Source organism: Homo sapiens, chromosome 22 (genome assembly GCF_000001405.40).
Source record: "Homo sapiens chromosome 22, GRCh38.p14 Primary Assembly".
In the NCBI taxonomy this organism is placed as follows: Eukaryota; Metazoa; Chordata; class Mammalia; order Primates; family Hominidae; genus Homo; species Homo sapiens.
Window position 1 is genome coordinate 20,576,153 of NC_000022.11, and position 27,811 is coordinate 20,603,963.

A 27,811-nucleotide genomic window follows, 5' to 3' on the forward strand; every position below is an offset into this window, starting at 1 on the left:
TCTGAGAATAAAATTATGCTGAAGTTCTCTCATCATACAGGCTTTCCATTTTAGTGGGTTTGTCGTGAAAACATCAAATTTGCCAAAAGAACTTTACAATTCAGTTTCTGTTTTAGGGGAAATGCCTCTATAATCCTAGCAGACAGTGGTCCCTGTCCATCCCTGAACGCCCAGGTGCAGGCACTGCCACCACCCTGGCTTGTGCAGTGGCGTCTCTGCAGCTCTGTTCTACACAGGAAGAAGTGGAGGCTGAGCCAGGATGGCCCTTGGTCCATGTGGCCCCAAGCCTGGTGCCACACACCACACACTGCCAAGAAAGTGGCCTGGGCCCCCACTGGGGCATGTTTAGCTTTTGCCTTCCCTGCATACTAACCCCCTGGGTTACCCCAGATGTGCCATTCACATAGTTACTGACTGGAACTTAGTTTCTTTGGCAGGGACTTCCTTTTTAGTAGTTGTTGAATTACAGCGGGAGGAAGTGCCTGGAATCTGCTGGTAGAAAGGCTTTGGTGAAAGAGCTCTCCAGAGGAGCGGAAGTTGGGGGTCAGGAATTAGGTTGTGTGGCTGTGGTGGAAAGGAGGCCAGTGTGGGCAGAAGCCAGGGTGCAGTTCCCCATGGCCTGGAGGCTGTGAGTTCCACGACCTGCTCACATGCTGCTGGTGTCTCCTTGACTAGACCCCTTTGGGTTCTGCACTCTTGTCTGCTAAAACTGCTTCTCCTCCTTTCCCATAGCCTCTGGCACAGTATCCACTGGGTTCACAGAATCAGGTTGGGTTGCTGTATGTGGAGGAATGACTTTAGTAGCAGCATGTAGGACTGATTTTTATAAACACAAAAAGTCCCCAATGTTTTCAGTGTGCGATATGTGCCAGGCCTTGAGCTAAGCTCTTTGTGTACAGAGCCTCACTGTTTCTTGTTGTAGCAGGTCATAGTTTGAGCATTTAGCCCCTTTTACAGACTAAGAGTGCCCCCAGGGAGCCACCAAGTCAGGATCGAGGGCTCAAGTGAAACCCTTATGCCTTGGCCTCTCAGCAGGATTCTTCTGGAAACTCCTCACTCCCCTTCCTGCTGGGCTGATGACCTGGCTTCTCCTTCTTGTTTACTGGGCACTCCTGGGTGGGCTCCCTCCATGCCCCCACAAGACCAGGCTCTGTCCTGGGCTTTGGCTTGCCCATACTCTGTTGTGGGCTGGCCACTCCCCACACCCAGCTGCTGGTGTTTCCACCTAGACTTCTCACAGGCAGCCCCTCCCTCCCTCCCTCCCTCCTTCCCACCAGTTCCCAAACCCACTCAGTCTTTCCCTCCCCAGCCTTCCCTGGCCCTTAGATTAAGTCTGCCCTGAGTTATGCCAGCTAATAGGTCTCTCTCTCTCTAGAAGCTTCCAACCCCCAAAGGCAAGGAGGTAAGGTGGAGCAGAGGAAGGATAGAGAAATATATGATGAAGCTGAAAAAGTTATTGCCTTGGAATAAATGCCATGGAGAATTCTGGTTTGTCCTCATTGCACTGTGTGGGGTGAGAGCGCTCTCATGGGAAGATGCTGGCTAACTGCACACAGATTTAATCACCAGGCCCCGCCCATTCGCACTGGCAGTGAGAGGCACACCCCTGAACCTTTGGGGTTGTTCACTGAGGACAAACGCGGCAGCATTTAGAAAGTATTCCTCGTCCCGGCAGTAGACAAAAGCCACAGGATTTATGGAAAGAGGAAGGAAGGCACAGAACTGGGGCAAGGTTCTGGTTTTGTTCTGTTATTTTGTTGTCATTGTTACTGTTTGTTTTTCTTTTTTTGAGACAGAGTCTCGCACTTGTCCCCCAGGCAGGAGTGCAATGGCGCACTCCTGGCTCACTGCAACCTCCACCTCCCAGCTTCAAGCGATTCTCCTGCCTCAGCCTCTCGAGTAGCTGGGACTACAGGCGCCTGCCACCACATCTGGCTAATTTTTGTATTTTTAGTAGAGATGGGGTTTCACCATGTTGGCCAGGCTGGTCTTGAACTCCTAACCTTAGGTGATCCGCCCGCCTCGGTCTCCAAAACTGTTGAGATTACAGGTGTGAACCACTGCGCCCAGCCTTGTACTGTGTTTTTAAAGCAGGTTTGTTCATGCTTGTTAGCTGCAAGAAAGGAAACTGGAAGGAGTTGAGGGAGGGAGAAAAGCGAATAGAGGGACACCCTGGAGTGGAAGCCTCCCTACTGCCCAGGCAGCTGCTCTGCAGCCCTCTCTGGTCCTGGCCTTCCCCGCAGAGGGCCCTCCCCAGCTCAGCCCTCTACGTCCGGCTGCAGTACCAGGCTCTTGGTACAGTCTCCCACACCTGGCTGTGGGCCAGCCTTGGGGACGTGAGGCATGCTGGGCCCCGTGTACCAAGGGCATTCACCTGACCACACCAGGTGGCTCCAGAGGTGTGCCTCTGCTTTTGTGTCAGTATCTTTCAATCCAGTCCCTTCCGAGAAAAAGAGAGCTTATCTCAGGAACGTATCTGTTGATCTCACCAGGAATTGCCCCACTGTGTCCCATCTGAGCTCTCAGGGGCCAGAACCTGCTGTCTCCAGTGTGTCCAGATGGCCACTCTGTGGCCACTGTCCCTCCAGCCACTTGCCCTCAGCAGTCAGCAGGACACAGTCTGGAGACTACACTGCCCATTTGCTCTTGCTCTTTCCTTGTGGCAACAAATTAGGTCCAAGAAAACAGGTGGAGCTGAAAGAGGGAATGTACGTGCCCCATGGGCTCTTCTCCAGAGGGCAGGGCCCAGGCTCCCTCCCTCTGTCTTGACGGCTCATGGCTGCATCTTCCTGTTACGGTGGGCATGCCTCACGGACTCAGGCTACCAGGTCAAGCAGGATTCTGTGCTGGGTGCATTCTGGACACAGTGCTCAGCACGGGGGCCCAGGGGGTGGCATGGCCCATGCCACAATCCTCCCTTGGCAGATGTAAGCAGGCAGTGTCTTTCTCACTAGGGGCTTGTCCTTTGACTAGAGAGGCACTGTTGCCTCCCTGTTCCCTGCTCCAATCCCAGACCTGACATGAGACCAAGGACTGGGAGGTTTCTTTCTCGCCTCTCTGGCTGCCTCCCCAGAGCCTAGAGCCTGTCTTTGGATGAGTCTTTGCAGGGGCTGCTTCTCATCCCAGGTGCTGGACTTGGACTGCCCACCACTGACACCTGGGCACAGGGCCTGGCTTCCTGCTCTCGTGCTCTTGGAAATGAATGGGTGCCCTTCATTTGTTTTTCTTCCCACTAGAAATCTCCCTGCCTCCCATCCTCTGGGCTCTGCTGGCTGCCAGCTGCCAGGGTGAGACCCGTGTTCCACTGCACCCTGGGGAGTGCCTCCAGGGGACACACTGAGTGCCGGAGCCAGGAGCAAGGAACGGTTCCCAGTATGTGGGGGCGGGGGTGGGGATCGCGCAGTGCCGCCAGCCTTGCCTGAGGGTTCCTCTGTGAGATGGAGCTCCCTGGACCAGCCTTTTTGCCCTCCCACCTCCTCTCTGGCCCACTCGGTGTCCACCTGCCTTCAGCTCCAGGCTGCTGTGTGGGTCCCTTTCCCAGAAATGCAGTTCAGGCCATTGTTGCTGGGGTGGTGGTGTTGCTGGGGTGTTGATGTTTAGCGTGCCTGAGCTCCCTTCATCACTAGGATGACCTTGAGCAAGTCACTTCCCTCTGAGCTCCCTGTTCCCAACCTGTGACACACAGGTGACAGGTGGTGTGCACTCAGAAACTCCTTCCCTAGGATGTGTGACATTCTTGTCCTGGGGCCTTTGCTAGCTGTGACACACCGGCGCCCGACCTCTCTGGCTGCCTCCCTAATGCCAGTTGTGTCTTCAGATGAGTCTTTGGGGGGCTGCTTCTCATCCCAGGTGCTGGACTTGGACTGTCCACCACTGACACCTGGGCACAGGGCCTGGCTTTCTGCTCTTGTGCTCTTGGAAATGAAAGGGTGCCCCTCGTTTGTTTTTCTTCCCACTAGAAATCTCCCTGTCTCCCATCCTGTAGGCTCTGCTGGCCACCAGCTGCCCTGACCTGGGGCAGCTGAAGAACTGAGATAGACCTAAGTTCTGGGTGGGTGCTTGGAGGCCCCACGGGCGTGGCTGGTGAGATTGCCGCTTCAGGGCCAAAGTGGGTGCCGGGCTTCCTGAGGTTCGAGAGCAGATGAGAACTCTTGAGTGGCAATGAGGGCTGTGTGGTGGCCTTCTCTGCTTGGCAGCCTCTGCCCAGCCTGCAGCTGCCTTGCTCCTCAGAGAAGCGCTGAGCTTTAGGCCACAGAAAAGAGCTGACCATCTTCTAGAAGGGACAGCTGCTCAGGCACAGGCGCCTCTCTGGAAGAGGCAGTCAGGTAGAGGCAAGGGGAGGGGCCCTGACCTTCAAGCAGGAAGAGAGGTGAGCTTGTGAGACAGCTTTCTGGGGTGCAGGTAGAGAGTAGCAGCAAGTCAAGCATGGGTCAGAAAAGGCAGAGTTGGGCTGAGCATGGGGCCCAGAGTCTTTGCTTCCCACTCCTCGGTGCCGTCTGTGGTTCTCTGTATGGAATTTTCTGGCCTTGGGATTTTGTTGACACCTGGATAAGTCTAGAACATGTGTTCCGGTGTCTGGGACATGCCCTTACTCCTCTTCAGCTAGGGCTCTGTGCACCCCAGCACCGTGAATGCACAGGACTTTGGTGGGAGAAATCTCTGTACTTGTTCAACTCAGCATTTAGCAAATGAAGTCACATCAGTCCCCGTTTCTGACCTTGCTAACCTTTGCGAGAATCACCGCGAGCCATTTTGCTCCATTAGGTAGAGTGATGAGGCCCGGCAGGCCGAGGCTGGGGCTCCTGCACTCTGTCCCTCCTCTCCCAGGCAGAGGTGTCTTGACCACAAAGCAGTGGGAACAGTCCATTCCATCGGTTGATGTCCCACTGGGCCAGTGGCTTTGGATAGGGACCTCTGACCCAGCTGTGCTGGAAGTACCCTGTTGTGGTCACGCTCTGTGCCTTAGCCCCCCACCCCCTGGTCTCCCAGCACACGTGGTTCAGGAACGGCCTGCACCCAGCATCCCTTGCAGCACTGTCAGGCACAGCCCATGGAACAGGCAGGACAGAAAGAGCATTTCGCTCCAGGAGCTTGGTCCACGTGGTGCTGAAAGGGCAGTGCCACCCTGCCCTCTGCTGCCTGGTGGGGTGGTGAGGAGGGCAGCATTCTGTTTGTGGGCTCTGGGCCTGGTCCCCAATTTAAGGAGCTTAGAAAGCAGCTGTCCTATCCCAGTACTCACAGCACTGTGGTGGAAGTGCTTGGGGGGTGGTGTGAGCCGTGGCCCGAGACAGGCGTTCATGGCCAGAGTGCCCCAGGAGAAGCACTGAGTTGGTCTACAGAAATGGATGGTCCAGGGGCCTGGCTCCTAGGCAGACTGTGAGGGGATGCTTGGCATGCAGGGGGTTGACTAGGGTGTGGGAAATGTAGCAGGGCCTTCAGGGTTCCCCCAGTGTGACAAGGCATCCCTCTTTGCTGAGAGTCCCTCTAGGGGAGGCCAGACGCCCAGGGCTGGCAGGCAGCTGTTCTCCCCATCAAAGCAGCCATCTGTGCTCCACCCCAGGAAGGTGTGGGTGTTTTACATATGCTTATCCCTGATGCCTGGGTGGTGTGGTTTCATCCCTAGAGTTTACGGATGAAGACAGTGGTGTCCCTGGTGCAGACACTGGGGTGATTGATCTTATTTGTGTCGTGGCCAGCAAGGCCTGGGGAGCAGAGCAACAGCCTTGCTTTGCATACACACAGGGCCTCAGAGGACTCAGGTGCACACCTGCATGGCAGAACCAGGCTCTGGGCCCAGGTGTCTGACACTGAGTAGCTCGCCTCTCCCAGGGGCGCTGGTGTGGGCCGATGCAAGTGCCACCATGGGTGTGTGTGTGGCTCCCTGGGCCACCTCACTCCAATTAAGCAGGTCCAGGTGGGACAGCCTGGGACCAGCCCTGCAGCAGCATGTGTTAACCACAACAGATGGCTGTAGCCACCAGGCTTGTCCTTGGTGCAGTCAGCCTGGGGGCTGCGGGGGCTTGTGGAAGCATGTGGGAAGACGGTCCCACTGGTCAGCAGAGCAGGGTCCTCACCGACCCACAGAGGAGCATGTCACAGGACAGGCAGGCGTGTCAGGGAAGGCCAGGCTAGTGCCAGCCAAGGGCATTGCCTCCCAGACTGCCCTTTTCCTCACACTCCCACGACACAGCCCTCAAAGCCTGTGCCCCTGTGGGTCCCTGGCCAAGGAGCAAGGGCTGCCCTGCCTGGGCCCCCCCCGCCAGCCCCTTGGTCACCTCATGCTGTGTGCCAGGCTGGGGGAGTGTGCCTGTGTGTATGTCCAGGTGGCATTTGGATGAAGACACAGGTGTGTGGTGAGGCTGTGCGGGAGGATGGGCCTATGCGTGCGGTGGGCAGGTGGTGTGGAGGCAGGCGGGCGGGCGTGTGGCAGCGCGCCGGCTGAGCCCCTCCACTTCCAGGTCAGCCAGAGCAGCCTCCCCATGCTGTCCTCGCCGTCACCGGGCCAGCAGGTGCAGACCCCGCAGTCGATGCCCCCTCCCCCCCAGCCGTCCCCGCAGCCCGGCCAGCCCAGCTCACAGCCCAACTCCAACGTCAGGTAGGCCTGGCCTGGGGTGCCCCTCCCCACCTGGCCCTCGAGGCTGGCCCTGCCTGGACCCCGGCTCACATGTTTCTCTCACTTGGCTGCAGCTCTGGCCCTGCCCCATCTCCCAGTAGCTTCCTGCCCAGCCCCTCACCGCAGCCCTCCCAGAGCCCAGTGACGGCGCGGACCCCACAGAACTTCAGTGTCCCCTCACCTGGACCTTTAAACACACCTGGTAAGTTGGGCCTGAGGTGCTAAGGTCACTCCTCACCTTTATGAGGCCTCAGCTCATACTGGGTGTGCGAGCTCTGGGGCCCTCAGAGCTCAAGTTCCCCACCCGAGGGTCGAGGGCTGTGGCCTCACCCGCCTGTGTCCTGCAGTGAACCCCAGCTCTGTCATGAGCCCAGCTGGCTCCAGCCAGGCTGAGGAGCAGCAGTACCTGGACAAGCTGAAGCAGCTGTCGAAGTACATCGAGCCCCTGCGCCGCATGATCAACAAGATCGACAAGAACGAAGGTAGGCTGCAGCCAGGGCAGGGGCCTGCACCCTGGGGACACCACCAGGCTTGTGTCTTAGTGTGTACCCTCTTCTGTCCCAGACAGAAAAAAGGACCTGAGTAAGATGAAGAGCCTTCTGGACATTCTGACAGACCCCTCGAAGCGGTGAGCTTTGCCCACAGCCCACGGAGGGTCCACAAGGGCACAGATAGCCCAGCCATGGATGGGCACTTGGTGATGATGTGGGTTTAACAAAGGCACCAGGCAGCTCTTTGGACCCTGGCCAGAGGCCTCCAAGGCTCCACTCTGGTGTGTGCTGGGGCTTCAAGCCCAGGCTTCATCTTGGCCCATGCCCAGCCTTTGCCCTATTCCTGGCTGCTGCTGTGGCCCTCATGCTGGGCCATCACAGCCAGACCTCATCCAGTCAGCAGCCAGGGGCCCAGCTTGCAGTGGCCTGACCATCAGCTGGCCCAGATGGGCCTGAGCCTGACCTGGAGTTCTGCCCCTGACTTGCTGGTGACCATGGGCAGGCGACTGCATCTCAGTTACCCCATTTGTAGCCCACGTGTGTTGTCATGAAAATGAAACAAGGTGGCGCTGGTGAGAAGCAGGTGGAAGGCAGGGCTGCTGGCCACAGGCTGCTGTGAGGATCAGAGCTCGGGCAGTACCTCCAAACTGCATGGGCATTGGCATATACCTCCCTTTCACCTCAACTCAGGCTATCCCCCAACCCCTGTCTAGAAGGGTCTCTCTGTTCTGCTTGTCTGGATAGAATGCCAGTCACTATTGGGTGGTCCTCCAGGTCTTCATGGGTTGATCCTTTGTTAGGGTTATAGGGATGAGTGGGGCAGGGACTGGCCTACATGACAATGAGGCATTCACAGCCTGATCAGGGGCCTGGCCACTGTCCCTTCTCTTGACCCATCACCTCACTCTGCCAACCAGGGACAAGCAGCTCCTGGGGTTGAGGGCTGCCTGCCTTCAACTCTGGGTCTGGGAACAGCTGGTCAACTGGTAGGAGCTCCTGCAGAGGTTTCTGATGGCTGAGGCCCAGTGGCAGTAGTTGGGATCCTGAGCCTGAGAACTGCCATGTCTTCCACTCTTTCAGCCCAAGTCCTCTCTCTCTGCAGGTGTCCCCTGAAGACCTTGCAAAAGTGTGAGATCGCCCTGGAGAAACTCAAGAATGACATGGCGGTGGTGAGTGGGATGCCAGACACCCCTAGGGGAACCAGGGCTCTCCTAAGAGCTCCTGGGAGTGCTGCTGAGAGGGCCTTCAAGGTCAGGGCATCTGGGCGGGGGCCGGGCCTGACCTTGGACCCTGCCCACGAGGCTTCCTGGCCAGGTCTGCTGTGCTGGGTGGGAACATGGGAGAAGTCACCCTCTGTCTACGGCCCCCGTGGGTGCCTCCTTCACCCATTTCAGAGGAGGCAGGGACTGTAGGGAGGATAGGCTGTGGGGGTGGGGGATTATTCCCAGGATCAGCCAACATTGTCTGCACAAGGGTGGAGGCTGTGAGAGAGGCCTCGGGAATCTGACTGTGAGTGACCATGGGCCTGGGGTGTGAAGGCCCCCTAAATGGGGAACCCTCGGGTCCCGGGCTGCTGACCGTGCCCATCCTGTCTCCAGCCCACTCCCCCACCGCCCCCGGTGCCACCGACCAAACAGCAGTACCTATGCCAGCCGCTCCTGGATGCCGTCCTGGCCAACATCCGCTCACCTGTCTTCAACCATTCCCTGTACCGCACATTCGTTCCAGCCATGACCGCCATTCACGGCCCACCCATCACGTATGTCCAGCTGGGCTGGGCTTTGCGGAGGGCGGCCAGCCCTGGGCCGCGTGTGCCAGGTGTGGTCACCATGCCGCCTCCCCAGGGCCCCAGTGGTGTGCACCCGGAAGCGCAGGCTTGAGGATGATGAGCGGCAGAGCATCCCCAGTGTGCTCCAGGGTGAGGTGGCCAGGCTGGACCCCAAGTTCCTGGTAAACCTGGACCCTTCTCACTGCAGCAACAATGGCACTGTCCACCTGATCTGCAAGCTGGGTGAGTGTCCAGAGGGCCGGGACTGGTGTGGGAAAGCAGGCCCTGACCGCAGCCCCAGGACTCTGCCATCCAAGCCAGATGGCACAGCGCCCAGAACCCACCCTGTGTTCACGCCCCGCCAGGCTGTCTGCTCTATCCTCACACACACCGGGCTCCAGACAGCCTGGCCATGCCTCAGTCCCCACTGCCAGAGCCCGCACACTCTCACCTCCCCAACACAGATGTGGCTTTGCTTGCCTGGGCCCTAGGGAGGTGGTAGGCAGGACCTCTGGGCACCCATCAATGCAGAGCACTCCAGGCTTCACGTTTGGAAATCTGAGAGTCAGAGAGACCTCCTCCAGGCTTTGCCACAAGCTTCACCAGAACCTCCCTGGGTGTGGAGTCCTGTTCCAGAGCAGGGCTGTGAGGCAGGGCAGGCCGGGGCTTGTCCAGGTCACAGATAGAGCCTTCTGTGTTGCAGATGACAAGGACCTCCCAAGTGTGCCACCACTGGAGCTCAGTGTGCCCGCTGACTATCCTGCCCAAAGCCCGCTGTGGATAGACCGGCAGTGGCAGTACGGTAGGTAGACCCAGAGGAGCTGTCTGGGGACCCAGGGCAAGCAGGGGTCATTGTGGAAAACCAGGCTTCCACTGCAGCAGGGACAGCCTCTGTGTGCTCCTGCCCCTCCCCAGCTCAGGCCCCTCCCTCCCCTCTTCTGGCTCCTCCTGCACAGACAGCAGCGGGTTTTCCAGTGGTCGCCTGAGAGAAAAGGGTCTCTGCTCCCACTGTGTCCCTTCGCCCCTTCAACTTGTGTCACGTCAGCTGTCCAGGGTGGTTGTGTTCAGTGGGTGAGGGGTGAGTAAGCCCATGGCTCAGGGACAGTCCCCGCTCTTCCCAGAGGCCACTAGCTTCCCAGAGGCCACTACCTTGGCAGGGCTGCCAGGTTCCACTGGTAGCTTGGGCACACAGGGCCCAATCTGGGTGCTGTGGCTCCAGAGAGAACCACGGTGGCAGGGGGCAGTCTCTGAGCCCAGAGCTGGCACACAGCAGAGCTGGCACACAGCAGAGCTGGCACACAGTAGAGCCAGGCTGGGTCCCCAAGGTTGTTAGAGGCAGAGCCCTAGATCCTGTTCAGATTTGGTTCTCACTGACGATGAGGCTCTGGGAGGAGAGCCCAAAGGCCGGGCAGCGTGCAGGACACATCACCTCCTGGTGCTTCGGCCCGCGCCTGGGGCTACCCCTTCCCAGAGCACTGCCGGGTGTGCCAGGAGCGAGCGCAGCGCCGGCCGCCTTAGGTTCACGCCCACTGCTCTGTTGCAGACGCCAACCCCTTCCTCCAGTCGGTGCACCGCTGCATGACCTCCAGGCTGCTGCAGCTCCCGGACAAGCACTCGGTCACCGCCTTGCTCAACACCTGGGCCCAGAGCGTCCACCAGGCCTGCCTCTCAGCCGCCTAGCCAAGACTGCAGGGATGGCCCGCAGCCTCATCGGGGCCAAGGACACACGCCTCCTGTCAGACACTTCTAGGTGTTGGCTTCCTTAGAGAGCCTGGGGTTAGGTTAGCTTTCCTGCTTTTATCTTCTGCCTTGGGGACCTGCCAAACGAAATCCCACACCTGTACAGAACTGGGATAGGCGCAGTGGAGCGGGTTGCTTGGGGGGCGTTGGCCGACTTCTTAGAGAAGGCCCTCCATGTGACTTCCTCCCAGGAGCCAGATGCGATCCTCAGGCTGCTCTCACCGTGGCCTGTCCACGGTCCAGGTCCATCTCAGCAGCGTGAGGGTGCACTCAGGGTGTTGTTAGAGCGTCTCGTGTGTGCTAGACGCACCCCTACTCGTTCCTATAGAACACAGAGGACATAGGAAACCCTTAAAACACACATGGGATTCTCTGGTCACAGTTTTGGGTTCAGGCTATGCTGCTTTGGGCAGGTGGAGCACCCCCCGAGGAAGCCTGCAAGTCCAGGGCACAGGCTGCCTTTTGGAGGGAGGGCTGGCCCATAGGTGCTGCTGGCTCCCCGCCACCAGCTGGGCCTCAGCCCTCACGGCATTCCTGCTGAGCACCGTGGGGCACCCAGGGAGCAGGGGCGTCAGGGATCCTGCTGCCGGCACCCCTGTGCCGCTGGCATGAGGGCCGTGTCCCCACTGTGAAGGATGAAGAGCAAGGCCCTCAGGACCCGTGTCCTCAGAGCACCACACACTGAGCACCCAGAGACAGCGGGCCTGGCAGCGGGCCGGGCCATGCAGGGAGCGCCTCCCTATGTTGCCTGCCACTCTGGGCACCGGCCAGCACCCTCTGGTGAGAAGAGGTCCCCCCTTTTTATGTGCACTACCCCACCATCTGTGATTATAATAAATTTATTATTCCTGTGTTTGTCAGTTGTTCATCACTGTGTCCCCTTCTCCATGAATCTGGGCTCGCTGTCCTGTCAGGATGCTGTCAGCCTTGGGGCTGCCTGGGGCCTCTGCCTCCCTTCCAGGAGGGACTTGAGGTGCTGCAGCTGAAAGGCAGGGGCAGGGGTGTGGTGGGGCCTGCGGTGGCACCAGGCTGCCCAGGGCCATCCCCACCACCCAGGGCCTCACCTCTTGGGCCTGCAGAAGGTTGGTATTCCACAGCTGGTGGATGACCACTTACACTGCTGAAGTGTGGTGGGCTTTCGCAGGTGTGGGGACAGGATCATCGGGGAGTGCCATCATCTGCCTGTCCCTGTGCTGGCTGCCCACCCAACAGAAAGCCCTGGCGTTAGAGGCCTCTGCTTCCCTGTCTCTGAAAGTCATTACAGTAGCCAGAAATGACCTGCCCAGGTGGGTCTGAGCATCCAGGCAGCATACTTCCCCCAGGCAGTGCCCAGGCCAGTGTGGGGAACAGGGCCTGGCTCCCTTCTCCCACTGACCAGAGTGCTCTGGGTGCCAGATGGGGGTCTCGGACTGGGGTCTGTCCCTTCCTCCCCTCTGAAGGTGCCCTGAGGGTCAGATGTGCTTCAGTGGGTGACCAGCTAGCTGCCAGGCTGCCCTTAGTCAGGACCCTATACCCAGTGGGGCTTCTTGCTTCAGGGCTGGTCTCAGGGGACGTGCAGAGATGCAGGAGCCTGTCCTGCTGGTTGCACCGCTCAAAATGTGCACTCTGCAATGTCTCAGGGCAGCCCGGCAACTCGGGGAGTACCAGAGCCTGGTCCTGCTCTCCTAGTCCCCTCCAAAGGCAGGCTGTGGCCAGGGGCAGCAGGCACTGACCAGCTCCATTCTAATCAGGCCCAGGAACACAACTCACTTTTCTTGGTAAAAAGATTACTTTGTTTTCTTTTCTCTGAGAAAGTGGTTTAGGGGCTGTTGCTGCCCCCTCTTGTGGGCTCAGGTCAGCACAGGTAATCTGCAGGACTCCAGGGGAGGGGAGGAAGACAGCGCCCACCCAATGGACAGAGTGTGGACAGAGCGTGGCCATTGTCTGCTTTCATGAGCCCTGGAGACAGGATCCTAGAGCAAGGGACACAGCAGTTTGCTGACTGCAGTGTGGGAGCCTAGTAAATGTGGTCCTGGGGCCCTTAGGGTGCAGGCAAACCTTACTTGGACTGCCCTTGCACCCCAGGAACTTTGTCCAGCTTGCTGTTGTGAAGCAGTGGCTCCTCCTCAAGGTCTGCCTTCTGGGGTACCTTAGAGTACCCCAGTGCTTTAGAGTCTTGTTTCTTGAAGGAACCGGCTGGGGCCTGTCCTTTCCTTGAGAGTTGGCTGCAGGTCAGACCCGACAGGGCCAGTCACTGCAGGCACCAACAGCCGCTGCCCAAGTCTTTCAGGATCAGCTGTGTGTGCCCAAGAAGCCCCTGCCTCAGTTGCCTCCTCTGTAAAGGGAAGCCTGCCTTGGAGGGTTCTAGGAGGAATAAATGAGGTTCTGAGGATGAAGCCCATGGGTGGTGCCTGTGAACATTCTAGAACAGTCAATATAGTGGAAGCTGGCTCTGTTTTGGGTAAAATAAAACTGCATGCGAGGCCTGGGACTAAGCCTGCATGGGTTTCCTCTGCAAGGACAACGCCCATGGCACGCCTGGGCTCATCACAGGAACAATAGGGGCCAGGGTTGGGGCCAAGGAAGATGCCTGGTCTCGAGCCACTCCCCGCTCACTCTGCAGAAGATGCCATGAGCCCAGGGCTCCGTGGGCAGTGCCATCCCTCCTGTATCCTGTCTGCTTGTGGAGGGGGACGTGGGCCAAGCAGGGCCTCTGCCAGGCAGCCAGTGTACGTCCTTCCCCCTAGAAGGCCACCCAAGGAGGCCCCTTCTGACCGCTTGCTGTGCTGGCTTGGGGTGCCTGCCATGAGGCCTTGCTGCCCTGCGTTGACAGCCCCTGTGACTGGCCCCCAGTCCTGCCCACCCCACCCTAGGCCCCTCCTGGTGGTTTCAGCTTACAGGGCTCCCTTCAGCTGCCCGTTCACCCCCAAATCCTTGAGGTTGGCCCAGCAGAGGACTTTCAGCTCCCTGGTCAGCACCTCTAGTGACCACCCAGGCTGGGGTCCCTGTGGGGCACTTGCCCCTGTGAGCACATGGAGGACACCAGCCTGCTCACCTGACACCATTTAATTCGAGGTGGAGTTGACAGGCTGGAAGTTGCCACCCGCACACCTGCCTGAGGGAGAAGCCCTCCGTCTGCCTGCAGGCCTGTGTCCTCCCTGCTCTACCCACACTCCACTGAGGCAGCCCCAGACCCACCGCGCGCCCAAGGGAGCAGAGGCCCCGGAAAGGTTGTTTCCTGAGGGGCCATCCAGAAAGCGGGAGGGCTTGGGACCCATGGAGCAGCAGGTCCGGAGGGAGAGCATGGCCTCTTCCCGTGTCCTGTCAGGGTCCCCAGCACTGCAGGGCCACACTTTGCCCAGAACAGCTCACTGGAGTTGCCACCGCAGCTAGGGAAGGGCCTTCACTCAATCCCATTCTCTGTGTCTCCCTAGAAGGGAGAGCCCTGGACAATGCCCCAGCTGGGATGTTCCCAGGCTGGTCCCATTCACCAGTCAGATGTCCTCCTGATGTCAGCCCCGGCCCCAAAGGTAATAGAGTGAGCTCAAGAACTCAACCAGAATCCTGGGCTGGGTGGGGGCCACCATTGGGATGGGGAAGTGCCTTGGACAAGTGGCAGGGAAGCAGGACTCTGGTTACTCCCCCCACCCCCATCCCCACAGTTGTTGCTGAGATGGCAGGAAGGAATCCCTGGATGGGGTGTGCCCGGAGCCCTTCTCCCAGCGTATCAGGAATCAGAGCCACAAGGCTGGAGATCCTAGGCCCAGCCACAGCAGCAATCTGAGGCAAAGACCCAGCAGGGTAGGGGCTGTCCCAGAGTCCCCTCCCATTTCAGGAGCTCTGCTTGGAGGAGGGAAGGTCTGGGAAGCACCCTGTGCCCACCATCACCACTGCACTGACCACAGCCCTTGGGCTTCCTGAGAGCAGCACGTGCTGTGCTTGGCTGTATAACATCGTCCAGCCATGGCTAGGGGCAGCAGCATCTGTCCAGGTCCCTCAGAACCTGTCCTCACTGGGTTGGCATACAGAGGCCAGTGCAGCCAGGTGGGCAAGGACAGTCTGGAGGGGCTCCCCGGGGTGGCAGGAGCTTCCCATCAGGCACGAAAGGGCCCAAGTCTCACCTTTCTCCTGTGACTCATTCATTATGAGCTTGTAATGGGGATCTGAAATCAAGCGCATGCTCTTCTCATCACTTGTGAAGCCACAGCCATTCTAAGAGAAGCAGCTTGGGCTGTCCACTACCCCCTGCTGAACCCCGAGAGTCCTGGCTCGCCACTGGCTGACTGGGCCCTGCCCCACAGGTCCCGCTTTCCACCACACCTTTGCTGTGGGCATGTGAGGGCAGGAATGACCCTGCCTGTTCCCTAGGCAGAGCCCACCCAGCACATCAGCCTCATCCTCCCATCTGACTACAAGACGCCCATGGTGCCAGGCAGGACCTGGGCCCCAGGGGTACAGGGGTGAACTCTGGGAGCCCCTGGCCATGGATGAGCATGGTCAGTGTCATGATCCTGTGGGCATCAGGGACTGGGGAGAGGCTCAAGAAGACATGGGGAAGGGGGATCCTGACATAACAGATGCCTGGTGATGGAATACTTAGCACCTAGGTAAGGCAGCACCAGGGAGCGGGGAGGGAGATGAGGCTGCAGGCACTGGTGCCCTCGCTGGAGCCTCTGCTGAAGCAGGGAGGGAGGAGCGGAGCCACATCCTGGCGGGCCCTCTTTCTGCTCTGGTGGGCAGTGGGGGTGAGGAGCTGCTAAGGGTGCAGTTAGGAAGGCCCAGCCCGAGGACAGTGTGGGCACAGGCGAAGCCGGGGGCATGCCTGCTCCTGATCCGGCATGTTTAGTTGGAGAAAATTCACTCAGTTGTGCACCGGCACTGGGCATGTTTTCCTTCTACGAAGTTTTTAACAGATGTGTACCTGACCCTGCCTGGAGAGGGGAGGGCTGGCAGGGTCAGCGTTTGAAATGATGCTGCCCCCGGCGGGACAGGCAGACAAGGAGGGCACCGCCCCGGGCCTAGGCGGGTCTCCGTCCTGGGGCAGGGGAAGAGCTCAGCATGGCAGGACCTAGCGTGGGCTTGCTGCCCTGTGTCCTCCCTGAGCCCAGGCAGGTGCTGGAGTTCATGTGCTGCGTTTCTGCTCTGCGGGCCGCCGCCGTGTTCAGGCGCTTGGGGAGGCAGGGCAGGCCTAGGGCCCTGTGGCTGGGCTCACCCTTGTTCTCCCACTTCAGATGCTCGATCTTCTAGTGGAGCTTGGCCAGCAACTCCAAGGACTGCTGCTGTAGGAACTGCAGGCCCAGGTCCAAGTCCAGGATCTGCCTCTGCTGGTCGATCTGGACACCCACAGACCGGCGGCACTGCGGGGGGTGCGACGTAACCTGAGATCCCGGGGACCAGCTGGGAGGCTAGCTCGCACGGCTCATGTCGCCACCCCCAACTACACAGCCGCTGCCACTGCACCCTGGCTCAGTGGCCATGCTGCCCGTCACAATGGAAAGGGGCGTGGCTGAGGAGCAGGGTGGGCAGCTGGGGCAGGGCCTGTGGCTGGCTCTTCCTGGGTGAGTACAGTCTGATTTAAAAGGCACCCAGGGCTGGGCACGGTGGCTCATGCCTATAATCCCAGCACTTTGGGAGGCCCAGGTGGGCGGATTACTTGAGGTCAGGAGTTTGAGACCAGCCTGGCTAACATGGTGAAACCCCTTCTCTACTAAAAATACAAAAATTAGCTGAACGTGGTGGCACGTGCCTGTAGTCCAAGCTACTTGGGAGGCTGAGGCCGGAGAATGGCTTGAACCCGGGAGGCGGAGGTTGCAGTGAGCAGAGATCGCGCCACTGCACTCCAGCCTGGGTGACAGAGGGAGACTCTGTCTCAAAAAAGAAAAAATAAAATAATAAAACGCATTCAGGCATTCTCTACAGCCTGGGCAACATAGTGAGACCCTGTCTCTATAAAAAGTAAAAGAAAAAAAATTAGCCGGGCTTGGTGCTGTGCTCCTGTAGTCCCAGCTACTTGGGAGGCTGAGGCAGGAGGACTGCTGGAATCCCGGAGGTCAAGGCCGCAGTGAGCTATGATGGCACCACTGAACTCCAGGCTAGGTGACACAGTGAGATGCTGCCTAAAAGAAAAAAAAAAAAAGAAATATGTCTTTCTTTACAAGGCCTGCCCTAAAAAAAAAAAAAAAAAAAAATGTTCGCCAGAGCCAGGCCAACTGTGATTTTACCAGATGCCAACATACCCAACCCAAGGGAGGAAGGGAACATACCCAATCCCAGCCTGTTCTAGCTCCTCTTCCCCACATCTTCCTGCCACATCAATAGGGCTCCTGTATAATAACAGGGGATACAAGTGAAAGAACAGCCCATCTCAGAACTTATTTGAGAAATGTCTAGGAAACCCTAAAGACAACAGGGAGACAAAAACTAAGACACCAGAGGAAGTTTATGCCTCTGACACTTACAGTTAGAACAAACAGCACACATGGCCCAACCCCTAACCAGAGCAAAATAAAACCTCACACAGGCCGGGCGCTGTGGCTCACCCCTGTAATCCCAGCACTTTGGGAGGCCGAGGCGGGTGGATCACGAGGTCAGGAGTTCAAGACCACCCTGGCCAAGATGGTGAAACCCCATCTACTAAAAATACAAAAATTAGCGGGCGTGGTGGCAGGCACCTGTAATCCCAGCTACTTGGGAGGGTGAGGCAGAGAATTGCTTGAAGCCAGGAGGTAGAGCTTGCAGTGAGCGGAGATTGCGGCACCGCACTCCAGCCTGGGTGACAAAGTGAGACTCTGTCTCAAAAAACAAAAACAAACAAACAAAAACTTCACACAGAAAGCCCATTTATCACGTACCCCGTACAGCATGTCCAGCTCCCCACAAAAAATTTCAAGGCATAATAAAAACCAAAAAATGCAGTTTGAAGAGACAGCAAGCATCAGAGCCAGACTCAAATATGGCAGAGATGTCGGAATTATCAGACCAAGAAATGGAATACAACTATGATTAATATGCTAAGGGCTCTAATGGAAAAGTGGACAACATGAGATTACAGACAGAAAATGGAAACAGGGATAGACACTCTGAGAAAGAATCTAAAGAATATGTGAAGGCCGGGCACAGTGGCTTATGCCTGTAATCCCAGCACTTTGGGAGGCTGAGGCAGCGGATCACTTGAAGTCAGGAGTTCGAAGACCAGCCCAGTTCGAGACCAGATGGCAAAACCCCATCTCTACTAAAAAATACAAAAATTAGCCAGGTGTGGTGGCATGAACCTGTAATTCCAGCTATTCAGGAGGCTGAGGTGGGAGGACTGCTTGGACCCAGGAGGTGGAGGTTGCAGTGAGCTGAGATTGTGCCACTGCCCTCAAATCTGGGTGACAGAGTGAGACACCACCAAAAAAAAGAAAAGAAAAGAAAGGAAACAAGGAGAGGAAAGAAAGGAAAGAAAGAAAGAAAGAAAAGAAAGAAAGAAAGAGAAAGAGAAAATAAAGAAAAAGAAAGAAAGAAGGAGAATATGTGAGAAGTCAGCCAGGTAGTGACTCATGACTGTAATCCCAACACTTTGGGAGGCTGAGGTGGGTGGATCACTTGAGGTCAGCAGTTCAAGACCAGCCTGGGCAACATGGTGATAACCCATCTCTACTAAAAATAAAAAAATTAGCTGGATGTGGTGTCATGCACCTGTAATCCCAGCTACTCAGGAGGCTGAGGCAGGAGAATTGCTTGAACCTGGGAGGTGGAGGTTGCAGTAAGCTGAGATTATGCCACTGCACTCCAGCCTGGGCAGTAAGACTCCGTCTCAAAAAACAAAAAGAAAATATAAGAAGTCAAAAACACAACAGAATGAAAGATCAGGGCTGGCAGCAGTGGCTCATGCCTATAATCCCAGCACTTTGGGAGGCCAAGTTGGGTGGATCACCTGAGGTTAGGAGTTGGAGACCAGCCTGGCCAACATGGAGAAACCCCGTCTCTACTCAAAATACAAAAATTAGCTGGGTGTGGTGGCGCATGCCTGTAATCCCAACTACACAGAAGGATGAGGCAGGAGAATTGCTTGAACCTGGGAGGTGGAGGATGTAGTGAGCCGAGATCATGCCACTGCACTCCAGCCTGGGTGACAGAAGGAGACTCTGTCTCAAAAAAGAAAGAAAGAAAGGTCAGGTGCATGGCTCATGCCTGTAATCCCAGCACTTTGAGAGGCCAAAGTAGAAGGATCGTTTGAGCCCAGGAGTTGGAGACCAGCCTGGGCAATATAGCCAGACCCTGTCTCTACAAAAAATTAAAAAAATTGCCAGCATGGTGGTGCACATCTGCAGTCCCTGCTACTCAGGAGGCCAAGGCTGCAGTGAGCTGTGATTGTACTACTGCACTCTGGCCTGGGTAACAGAGAGAGACCCTGTCTCAAAAATGGGGTAAAATGGTATAGGAAATTTGGATCTAAAAAAAAAAAAAAGGAAGTGCATTAGATAAGAAATAAATGAAGATAAAATAGAATCTTTTTTTTGGTGGGGGTGGGGAACGGAGTTTCACTCTTGTTGCCCAGGCTGGAGTGCAATGGCACGATCTTGGCTCACCACAACATCCGCCTACTGGGTTCAGGCGATTCTCCTGCCTCAGCCTCCTGAGTAGCTGGGATTACAGGCATGTGCCACCACGTCCAGCTAATTTTGTATTTTTATTAGAGTCGGGGGTTACTCCACGTTGGTCAGGCTGGTCTTGAACTCCTAACCTCAGGCGATCTGCCTGCCTCGGCCTCCCAAAGTGCTGGAATTACAGGCATGAGCCACTGCACCTGGCCAGAATCTTGTATTGTTCTTATTTTTAGTTGAACAGATGGCAGGTTATTCAAAATAATTATATCAACATGTATTCAGTAATTATAGCTTATGGATAGCTGGAATGAATGGCAGCAATGTTATAAGGGATGGGAAGGAGGATATCCTGAGTGGAAAGAAAGTCACCCAGGCTGGAGTGAAGTGGCACAATTATAGCCCACTTGCAGCCTGCAACTCCTGGGCTCAAGCCATCCTTCTGCTTCAGCCTCCCTGGTAACTGGGATTACAGACACACACCACCATGCCTGGCTAATTTTTAAATTTTTTGTCTCGCTGTGTTGCCCAGGCTGGTCTCAAACTCCTGGGCTCAAGAAATCCTCCTGCCTTAGCCTCCCAAAGTGTTGAGATTACAGGCGTGAGCCACTGTGCCTGGTTTATGGTTGCTTTTGAATGTCCTAGTCCTACATAAGTGGCTTCCAAGAAGGGAAAAAGAAAAATGCAGGCAGGAAAAGGTGCTGATCCATAAAAACCTCTGGAAGGTATGTCTCTAGGGAGGGGGTGAGTGTTGAGGAGGGATGTTGCAAACATGGTAGTGGAGATGGCAAGAGTGGCTGCCTGCCTCTTCGTCTGCACTTCCACAATCTGAAGCAGCCATCATCAATCGGAACACAGATCCCCAGTATTTGGAGGATGGGGCTCTTATTGCCTGCTGTGGCTCCTGCAAGCTATAGGGAAGCTACCCCAGAAGTATAGGCATGGCTGCTTGCACCACCAATTTAAATGCTAATTACTTCTGAAAACACCCTCACACACATGCCCAGAAATAATGTGTAACCAGATATGTGTGCATCCAGTGGCCCAGACAAGTTGACATATAGAATTAACCATCACAAGTCCACCCCTTGTCAACCTGGTACCTACACACATCTCCTTAAACCATACTTAACCTCCAAATAAACACAATAACAAAGTCAGTGTTAGCAGTGGAAGGTGTCTGAGTTAGTGGCAGCGAATCCGTATGGGTCTGCAGCAACCTCAATTCTTGCCTCCTCAGAAAAAAGAATTCAACTGGCCGGGCATGGTGGCTCACGCCTGTAATCCCAGCACTTTGGGAGGCCAAGGCGGGCAGACCACGAGGTCAGGAGATCGAGACCATCCTGGCTAACACGGTGAAACCTCGTCTTTACTAAAAATACAAAAATTAGCCGGGCATGGTGGTGGGTGCCTGTTGTCCCAGCTACATGAGAGACTGAGGCAGGAGAATGGCAGGAACCCAGGAGGCGGAGCTTGCAGTGAGCCGAGATCGCGCCACTGCACTCCAGCCTGGGCGACAGAGCAAGACTCCGTCTCAAAAAAAAAAAGAATTCAACTGAGGGGCATAAGGCAGAAAAAGAGACCGAGGCAAGTTTTGGAGGAGGAGTGAAAGTTTATTTAAAAAAGCTTTACAACAGGAAAGAAAGTATTCTTGGAAGAGACCTAAACAGGCACATAAAGGTCAAGTGCGGTGTTTAACCTTGATTCTAGGACTTTATAGACTGACCCCTTTCCCAAGATTCTTCCCCTAGGGTGGGCTGCCTACATGCACAGTGTCCTCCTTACCCTTGGGAGATGAGCACACGCAGTGTGTTTAGGAAACTGTACGCATGCCCATCTGAAGATTTCTTCCGTCCCAGAAGGTCATACTCTGCCATTGTCTCTTAATGCACATGGCCGGGGAAATTGCTTCTCCCTGGTGCCTGCATTCAATTAACACTTTAATGAAACAGGTGTGACCCATCAGGAACTGGCCTCTCCCTGATGCCAGCTGCCAATTTATCACTTTCATTTTTAATTTATTTTTTAGAAGGAGTCTCACTCTGTCACCCAGACTGGAGAGCAGTGGCATGATCTCGGCTCACTGTAACCTCTGCCTCCCAGGTTCAAGTGATTCTCCTGCCTCAGCCTCCCGAGTGGCTGGGATTAGAGGCATGCACCAACATGCCTGGCTAATTTTTGTATTTTTAGTAGAGATGGGCTTTCACCATGTTGGCCAGGCTGGTCTCGAACCCCTGATGTCAAGTGACCCACCCACCTTGACCTCACAAAGTGCTAGGATTACAGGCATGAGACACCATGCCCAGCCCTGGCTTTTTTTTTTTTTTTTTTTTTTTTTGAGACGGAGTCTCGCTCTGTGGCCCAGGCTGTAGTGCAGTGGCATGATCTCGCCTCGCTGCAAGCTCCGCCTCCTGGGTTCACGCCATTCTCCTGCCTCAGCCTCCAGAGCAGCTGGGACCACAGGCGCCCACCACCACGCCCAGCTAATTTTTTGTATTTTTAGTAGAGACGGGATTTCACTGTGTTAGCCAGGATGGTCTCGATCTGACCTCATGATCCGCCCGCCTTGGCCTCCCAAAGTGCTGGGATTACAGGCGTGAGCCACTGTGCCCAGCCGCTAATTTTTTATTTTTTATTGTTTGTAGAGAGGGGGTCTCCCTATGTTGCCTAGGCTGTTTTGTTTTTTTTTTTAAACAGAGACAGGGTCTTGCTATGTTGCCCAGGCTGGTCTTGAACTCCTGGGCTCAAGCAGTCCTCCCATCTTGGTTTTCCAAAGTGCTAGGATTACAGGCATGAACCACCAGGCCCGGTCTCCACTGTGAATCTTTTTTTTTTTTTTTTGAGACTGAGTTTCACTCTTGTTGCCCAGGCTGGAGTGCAGTGGCACCATCTCGGCTCACCGCAACCTCCGCCTCCTGGGTTCAAGCAATTCTGCTGCCTCAGCCTCCTGAGTAGCTCAGATTACAGGCATGCACCACTACGCCCAGCTAATTTTTTGTATTTTTAATAGATACAGGTTTTCACCATGCTACCCAGGATAGTCTTGATCTCCTGACCTCATGATCCACCTGCCTCAGCCTCCCAAAGTGCTGGGATTACAGATGTGAGCCACCGCACCCGGCCGCTAATGTTTTATTTTTTATTGTTTGTAGAGACAGGGTCTCCCCATGTTGCCTAGGCTGTTTTTTGTTTTGTTTTGTTTTGTTTAACAGAGACAGGATCTTGCTATGTTGCCAAGGCTGGTCTTGAACTCCTGGGTTCAAGCAGTCCTCCCATCTTGGTCTCCCACCCAAAATGCTAGGATAGGCGTGAACCGCCAGGCCCGGTCTCCATTGTGAATCTTTTTTTTTTCTTTTTTTTTTTTTGAGACTGTGTTTTGCTCTTGTTGCCCAGGCGGGAGTACAGTGGTGCGATCTCGGCTCACCGCAACCTCCGTCCGCCTCCTGGGTTCAAGCGATTCTCCTGCCTCAGCCTTCCTGAGTAGCTGGGATTACAGGCATGCGCCACCATGCCTGGCTAATTTTGTATTTTTAGTAGAGATGGGGTTTCCCCATGTTGGTCAAGCTGATCACGAACTCCCGACCTCAGATGATCCACCCGCCTCGGCCTCCCAAAGTGCTGGGATTACAGGCATGAGCTACCGCGCCCGGTTTACCATTTTGAATCTTAAGAGGACAAAGTCTGGTTCTCTAGAAGGCCCGAGTAGCTTTTCCCCTGAGCATCTTGAGAAAAAAGTGCTCTGAGCACTCCTTGGGAAGTCCGAGACAGCACATGCAGCCAGGTGCTCCCTGGCTGCTCTCCCAGAGGTCAGCACAGCTGGAGGCAGCTGGAGGGAGGAGGCTGCAGAGGCGCTGAAGCCAGGAAGACCCAACAGTGGAGAGAGAAGTTGCCTGGTGACTGACCCTCGGCTTGACCCTGTGCTCCCCTGGGCTGAGCTGGGTGTCAAAAGGCCTCCACCCTCCAAAGTGCCAGCCTCCTGCTGTGGCTGGAAAGCATTTGCTCCTCCTCCTCTTCTCACTTCTTTGCATTCTTCTGATCTCTTAAGGGCGTACAAAGATTCACATGGATATTAAAGTCAATGGTGATTTTCATAGCTGGAATACTCGTTGGGAGAAAGTAGGAATTCTTTTTTTTTTTTTTTTCTCCCAAGCTCAAGCGATCCTCCCACCTCAGCCTTCTGAGTAGCTGGGACCACAGGTGTGAGCCTCCATGATGGCCTGGCTAATTTTTTATATTTTTAGTAGAGATGGGGTTTCACCATGTTGCTCAGGCTGGTCTCAAACTCCTGAGCTCAGGCGATCCACCTGCCTCGGCTTCCCAAAGTGCTGGGATTACAGGCGTGAGCCACTGTGCCTGGCCAAAAGTAGAAATTCTTGATTGGGAAATAATTTTATATATTTCGGCCCCTTCTCACTTGGGAAAATTCTGCTAAGAATTCTGGTTTTGAGAGTCAAGGGAAGCTAGCTTAATTTTTAAAGTGAAGGCTACATAAGAGTCCTCTCTCCAGTGTGGTGGCTCACACCTATAAACCCAGCGCTTCGGGCAAATCACTTGAGCCCAGGAGTTCAAGACCAGCCTGGCAATGTAGTGAGACCCCTATCTCTACAAAAAAATTTAAAAATTAGCAGGGTGTGGTGGTGCGTGCCTGTAGTCCTGGCTACTTGGGTGGGATGCTGATGTGGGAGGATTGCTTGAGCCCAGGATTTGGAGGTTGCAGCGAGCCATGATGGTGCATTGCACTCCAGCCTGGGCAACATGGCAAGACCTCGTCTCAAAAAAATACAAAGAGTCCTCTCTATGTTGGAAATGTCAGAGTTATTGGCCATTTAGGGGATCTAACTTGCTCTTTGATGTCCAAGAGGAAAGGTATAGAGTTCTCCTGATTACACAGGGCCTCTGCTTGTGGGTCGCCTGCATGAGGCGATCAGAATCTGAGTCACCTGGGATCATGTGGGTGCTGGTACATCCTAGAGATAGGATGTGTTGGTCATGGAAGAGAGTGGGCCACAAATGGGTTCCAGGGGAATAGCGTTGCCTGGTGCAAGGAGGGGGATGTGGAGGTGCAGGGAGCAGGGGTGGTGTCTGGAGAGCCTGAAGCTGTGCTGCCAGAGGCTCCAGGCCATGAGGTCTGAGAAGCATCTAGATTTGGCCTGTTCACAGCAGGGAAGTGTGGTCCAGTGGCAAAAAGTTGAGGGCATCCTAGGAGTTGAGGAGGTGGTGGCGGTTAGAGTAAACCACTCTGGAGGCGTCCGGGGTGGAGAGACGAGAATGTGCAAGAACTCCTGCCTCTAGCCTGGCCTCCTCAGGACCCCGGCCACCAGCCTCCCTCCTAGAAGTCCCCAGAGCTTCCTCCTCCTTGTGCCCCAGAACTGGTTCCTGGGTTGCTCCAACCCCAGACCTTCCCTGGAAGTCCCCCCCAGTGCCTCCTGGCTGGGAACCCCCAACTGCATTTTGCTTCTGCTCTCGTGCCAGTAGTCCCCTTTTCTCTCCAGTGTCCAGGCCCCAACCACCAAGACCCTGCCTCCTCACTTGGCTTTGCTGTTCTTAGTTCTCTACTCAGTAGGTTGTGTCTGCCTCCATTCCTGGCCAGACGCTGCCCTGGGGCTGAGTGCACAGTCCCCAGCCACTCCCGAGATCCTCAGAGCTTCTGGAAGCCACAGACATGGTGGCATATGTTTCAGGTCGTCAGCTTGTTTTTTTTTGGAGACAGAGTCTCGCTCTGTCGCCCAGGCTGGAGTGCGGTGACGTGATCATTCACTGCAGCCTTGACCTTCTGAGCCCGGGTGATCCTCCCACCTCAGCCTGTCAAGTAGCTGAGACCACATGTGTGAGCCACCACACCTAGCTTTTTGAATCTTTTTTTTTTTTTTTTTTGAGACGGAGTCTCACTCTGTCACCCAGGCTGGAGTGCAGTGGCACAATCTTGGCTTACTGCAACCTCCAGCTCCCAGGTTCAAGTGATTCTCCTGCCTCTCCCGAGTAGCTGGGATTACAGGTAGGTGGCACCACACCTAGCTAATTTTTATGTCTTTAGTAGAGACAAAGTTTCACCATGTTGGCCAGGCTGATCTTGAACTCCTGACCTCAGGTGATCTGCCTGTCTTGACCTCCCAAAGTGCTGGGATTACAGGCGTGGGCCACGCGCCCAGCCAACTTTTTGAATCTTTTGTAGGGATGGGGTCTTGCTGTGTTGCCCAGGCTGGGCTTAAACTCCTGGACTCAAGTGATCCTCCCTGCCTTGGTTTCTCAAACTTCTGGGATTACAGGCCAATCTACTCAACGTTGATATTGAGTAGAAGGCAAAATTCACATGGCTCCGGCCCAGCCCCTTTCTGTCTCAGGCACTTCAGTGTTAATATGCGCCTTGGTTTTGCTGCTGCCGAGTCTACTGTGCCCCTGGGCAAGGAAAGCAAAGGAAACCAGAGGGCCAGGCCCGTGGACACTGGGGTGAGGGGCCAACAGGGTGCCCAGCAGTTGTTTCCACAGCCCCCACGTGGTCAGGGACCCTGTATGGGTGAACCGCCTGGATACTGAGCCTAGGCGGCGGAAAACTCAAAAGCAAGGGCAGGTTTATTCAGATCCCTGGTGGAGTTACAAGCTTGGTTTGGTTTTTGGTCACAGGCCCTAAAATACCTGTATTCTGAGTTTACATAAAAATACAAAGCACTGGCCGGGCGCGCTGGCTCACACCTGTAAGCCCAGCACTTTGGGAGGCTGAGGTGGGTGGCTAACATGAGGTCAGGAATTTGAAACCAGCCTGACTAACATGGTGAAACCCCATCTCTACTAAAAATACAAAAATTAGCTGGGCATGGTGGCGCATGCCTGTAATCCCAGCTATTCGGGAGGCTGAGGCAGGAGAATCACTTGAACCTGGGAGGCGGAGGTTGCAGTGAGCCATGATCGCACCGCCGCACTGCAGCCTGGGCTACAGAGCAAGACTCTGTCTCAAAAAAAAAAAAAAAAAAATCACCACCGAGACGCTGTTCTCCCTGGTGTGTCATCTGTGGGGTGAATGAAGGTGTGAGATACCCCGTGGTGGTTTCTGTCAGTGAATCTGTAGTTGTCATATATTTTGAATACTTCAATATCATCGAACAGTTGCTGTGTCTTTAAGCACTAGATTTTATTGAAGCTACCTTCTTCCCTTTTTAGTCCCATTTCCCCTAGATGCATCCACGACTGCAGGAACCCCCCTGCCCCCACCAGGAGCCCAAAGATAACCATGTTCCCACCTGGAGTGGCCTCCCACCTCCAATGCCATCAGGGCTGGTGCAGCTTCCCCACCTGGTCAGCAACATCATGGCCAAGGAGTAGAGGGCGTAGCCCAGGGTGAACAGCAGTGCACAGGTGAGGGGCCTGATGCAGAACAGAGAGGCCATGAAGAAAGCCAGCAGTAGCCAGGGCAGTGTCAGGTAGCTGCCTAGGAAGTGCAGGTTGAGCCTGTGGCCGCTGGCCAGCGTGGGCTCTGTGAGGTGGTAGCAACAGAAGCTGGCAAGGAAGTCATCTCAGGAACACAGAGCCGCCATCTGGTCTGCAAACTGAAGCGCAGGCAGTGGCACGGGGGCATGGGGTGGTGGCACCACAGGCCTCAGGACAGCTGCACCCCACCCCCACAGGCCACCCTGAGACTGCACCCCAGGCAGGAGCACCCAGAACCCTCTCTGAAGAGGCCAGGCCAGCCCTCCTGCCCACTCACTCTGTGTTTGATGGCAGATGACAGCCGGAAGGATGCTCAGACCAAGCTGGTAATCTCATAACTCCAGAGGGGCTGCAGCTCCGGGTCCCCCTGGTACTCAATTTCAAACCTTTGCAGCCTGTTGATGATCTAGAAACCCAGGCTATAGGGTTGGGCCAGAAAACATGGCCCTGGCCAGGTGCAGTGGCTCATGCCTGTAATCCCAGCACTCCGGGAGGCCGAGGCGGGCGGATCACAAGGTCGGGAGTTAGAGACCAGCCTGATCGATATGATGAAACCCCGTCTCTATTAAAAATACAAAAATTGGCCAGGTGCAGTGGCTCACACCTGTAATCCCAGCACTCTGGGAGGCTGAGGCAGGTGGATCACGAGGTCGGGAGATCAGGACCATCCTGGCTAACACTGCGAAACCCCGTCTCTACTAAAAAAAATACAAAAAAAAATTAGCTGGGCTTGGTGGCGGGCACCTGTAGTTCCAGCTACTCAGGAGGCTGAGGCAGGAGAATAGCGTGAACCCAGGAGGTGGAGCTTGCAGTGAGCCGAGATTGCGCCACTGCACTCCAGCCTGGGCTACAGAGCAAGACTCCGTCTCAAAAAAAAAAAAAAGTTAGCCAGGCATGGTGGCATGTGCCTGTAATCCCAGCTATTCAGGAGGCTGAGGTGGGAGAATCGCTTGAACCCAGGAGGTGGAAGTTTCAGTGAGCCAAGATCATGCCACTGCACTCCAGCCTGGGCAAGAGAGGGAAACCTTGTTTCAAAAAAAAGAAAGAAGAGAAAAGGAAACATGGCCCCTGCACACAACTCAGAAGAGCCAAGCCATCTCTGCTCACAGGGGAGGAGGGAGCTGGGGACACGTCAGGGCCCAACCCATGCACCTCTGGGACTTGGGCCTCTCACCTGGTACTGGCCCAGGGGCGTGGGGATGAGTCTGTC

General features: G+C 55.6%; 1 protein-coding gene, 1 long non-coding RNA gene and 1 pseudogene across 16 annotated transcripts in view, besides 1 other annotated feature; 1 reads left to right on the plus strand and 2 right to left on the minus strand.

Annotated features, from left to right (window-relative positions):
* MED15 (mediator complex subunit 15) overlaps positions 1–11,467 on the plus strand; it is an 80,010-nt gene extending 68,543 nt beyond the window's left edge. For 14 of the 15 annotated variants that reach the window (XM_047441395.1, XM_047441398.1, XM_047441401.1 and 11 more), the window contains 9 exons: positions 6,459–6,595; positions 6,688–6,815; positions 6,961–7,095; positions 7,178–7,241; positions 8,207–8,273; positions 8,703–8,863; positions 8,949–9,115; positions 9,576–9,674; positions 10,416–11,467. In XM_047441395.1, coding sequence (XP_047297351.1) covers positions 6,459–6,595; positions 6,688–6,815; positions 6,961–7,095; positions 7,178–7,241; positions 8,207–8,273; positions 8,703–8,863; positions 8,949–9,115; positions 9,576–9,674; positions 10,416–10,552 — 1,095 coding nt within the window. In that variant the 3' untranslated portion in view covers positions 10,553–11,467. The remainder of the gene's footprint in view (positions 1–6,458; positions 6,596–6,687; positions 6,816–6,960; positions 7,096–7,177; positions 7,242–8,206; positions 8,274–8,702; positions 8,864–8,948; positions 9,116–9,575; positions 9,675–10,415) is intronic. The other variant, NM_001293234.2, reaches the window with a different exon arrangement.
* On the minus strand, positions 11,436–12,742 carry LOC124905084 (uncharacterized). The gene is made up of 3 exons (XR_007068013.1): positions 12,655–12,742; positions 11,677–11,809; positions 11,436–11,594 (listed from the first exon to the last, which is right to left on the minus strand). It is a non-coding gene; the product is annotated as an uncharacterized LOC124905084 (long non-coding RNA).
* Positions 12,743–14,325: 1,583 nt separating this feature from the next.
* Positions 14,326–24,302, minus strand: CCDC74BP1 (coiled-coil domain containing 74B pseudogene 1; annotated as a pseudogene).
* Positions 24,335–24,525: a silencer, noted in NCBI's record as "fragment chr22:20954774-20954964 (GRCh37/hg19 assembly coordinates)". NCBI's record gives its function as "represses an EF-1alpha promoter that drives an FKBP-Casp9 reporter gene in an ReSE screen in HepG2 liver carcinoma cells {active_cell/tissue: HepG2}" and the evidence as "EXISTENCE:reporter gene assay evidence [ECO:0000049][PMID:32094911]".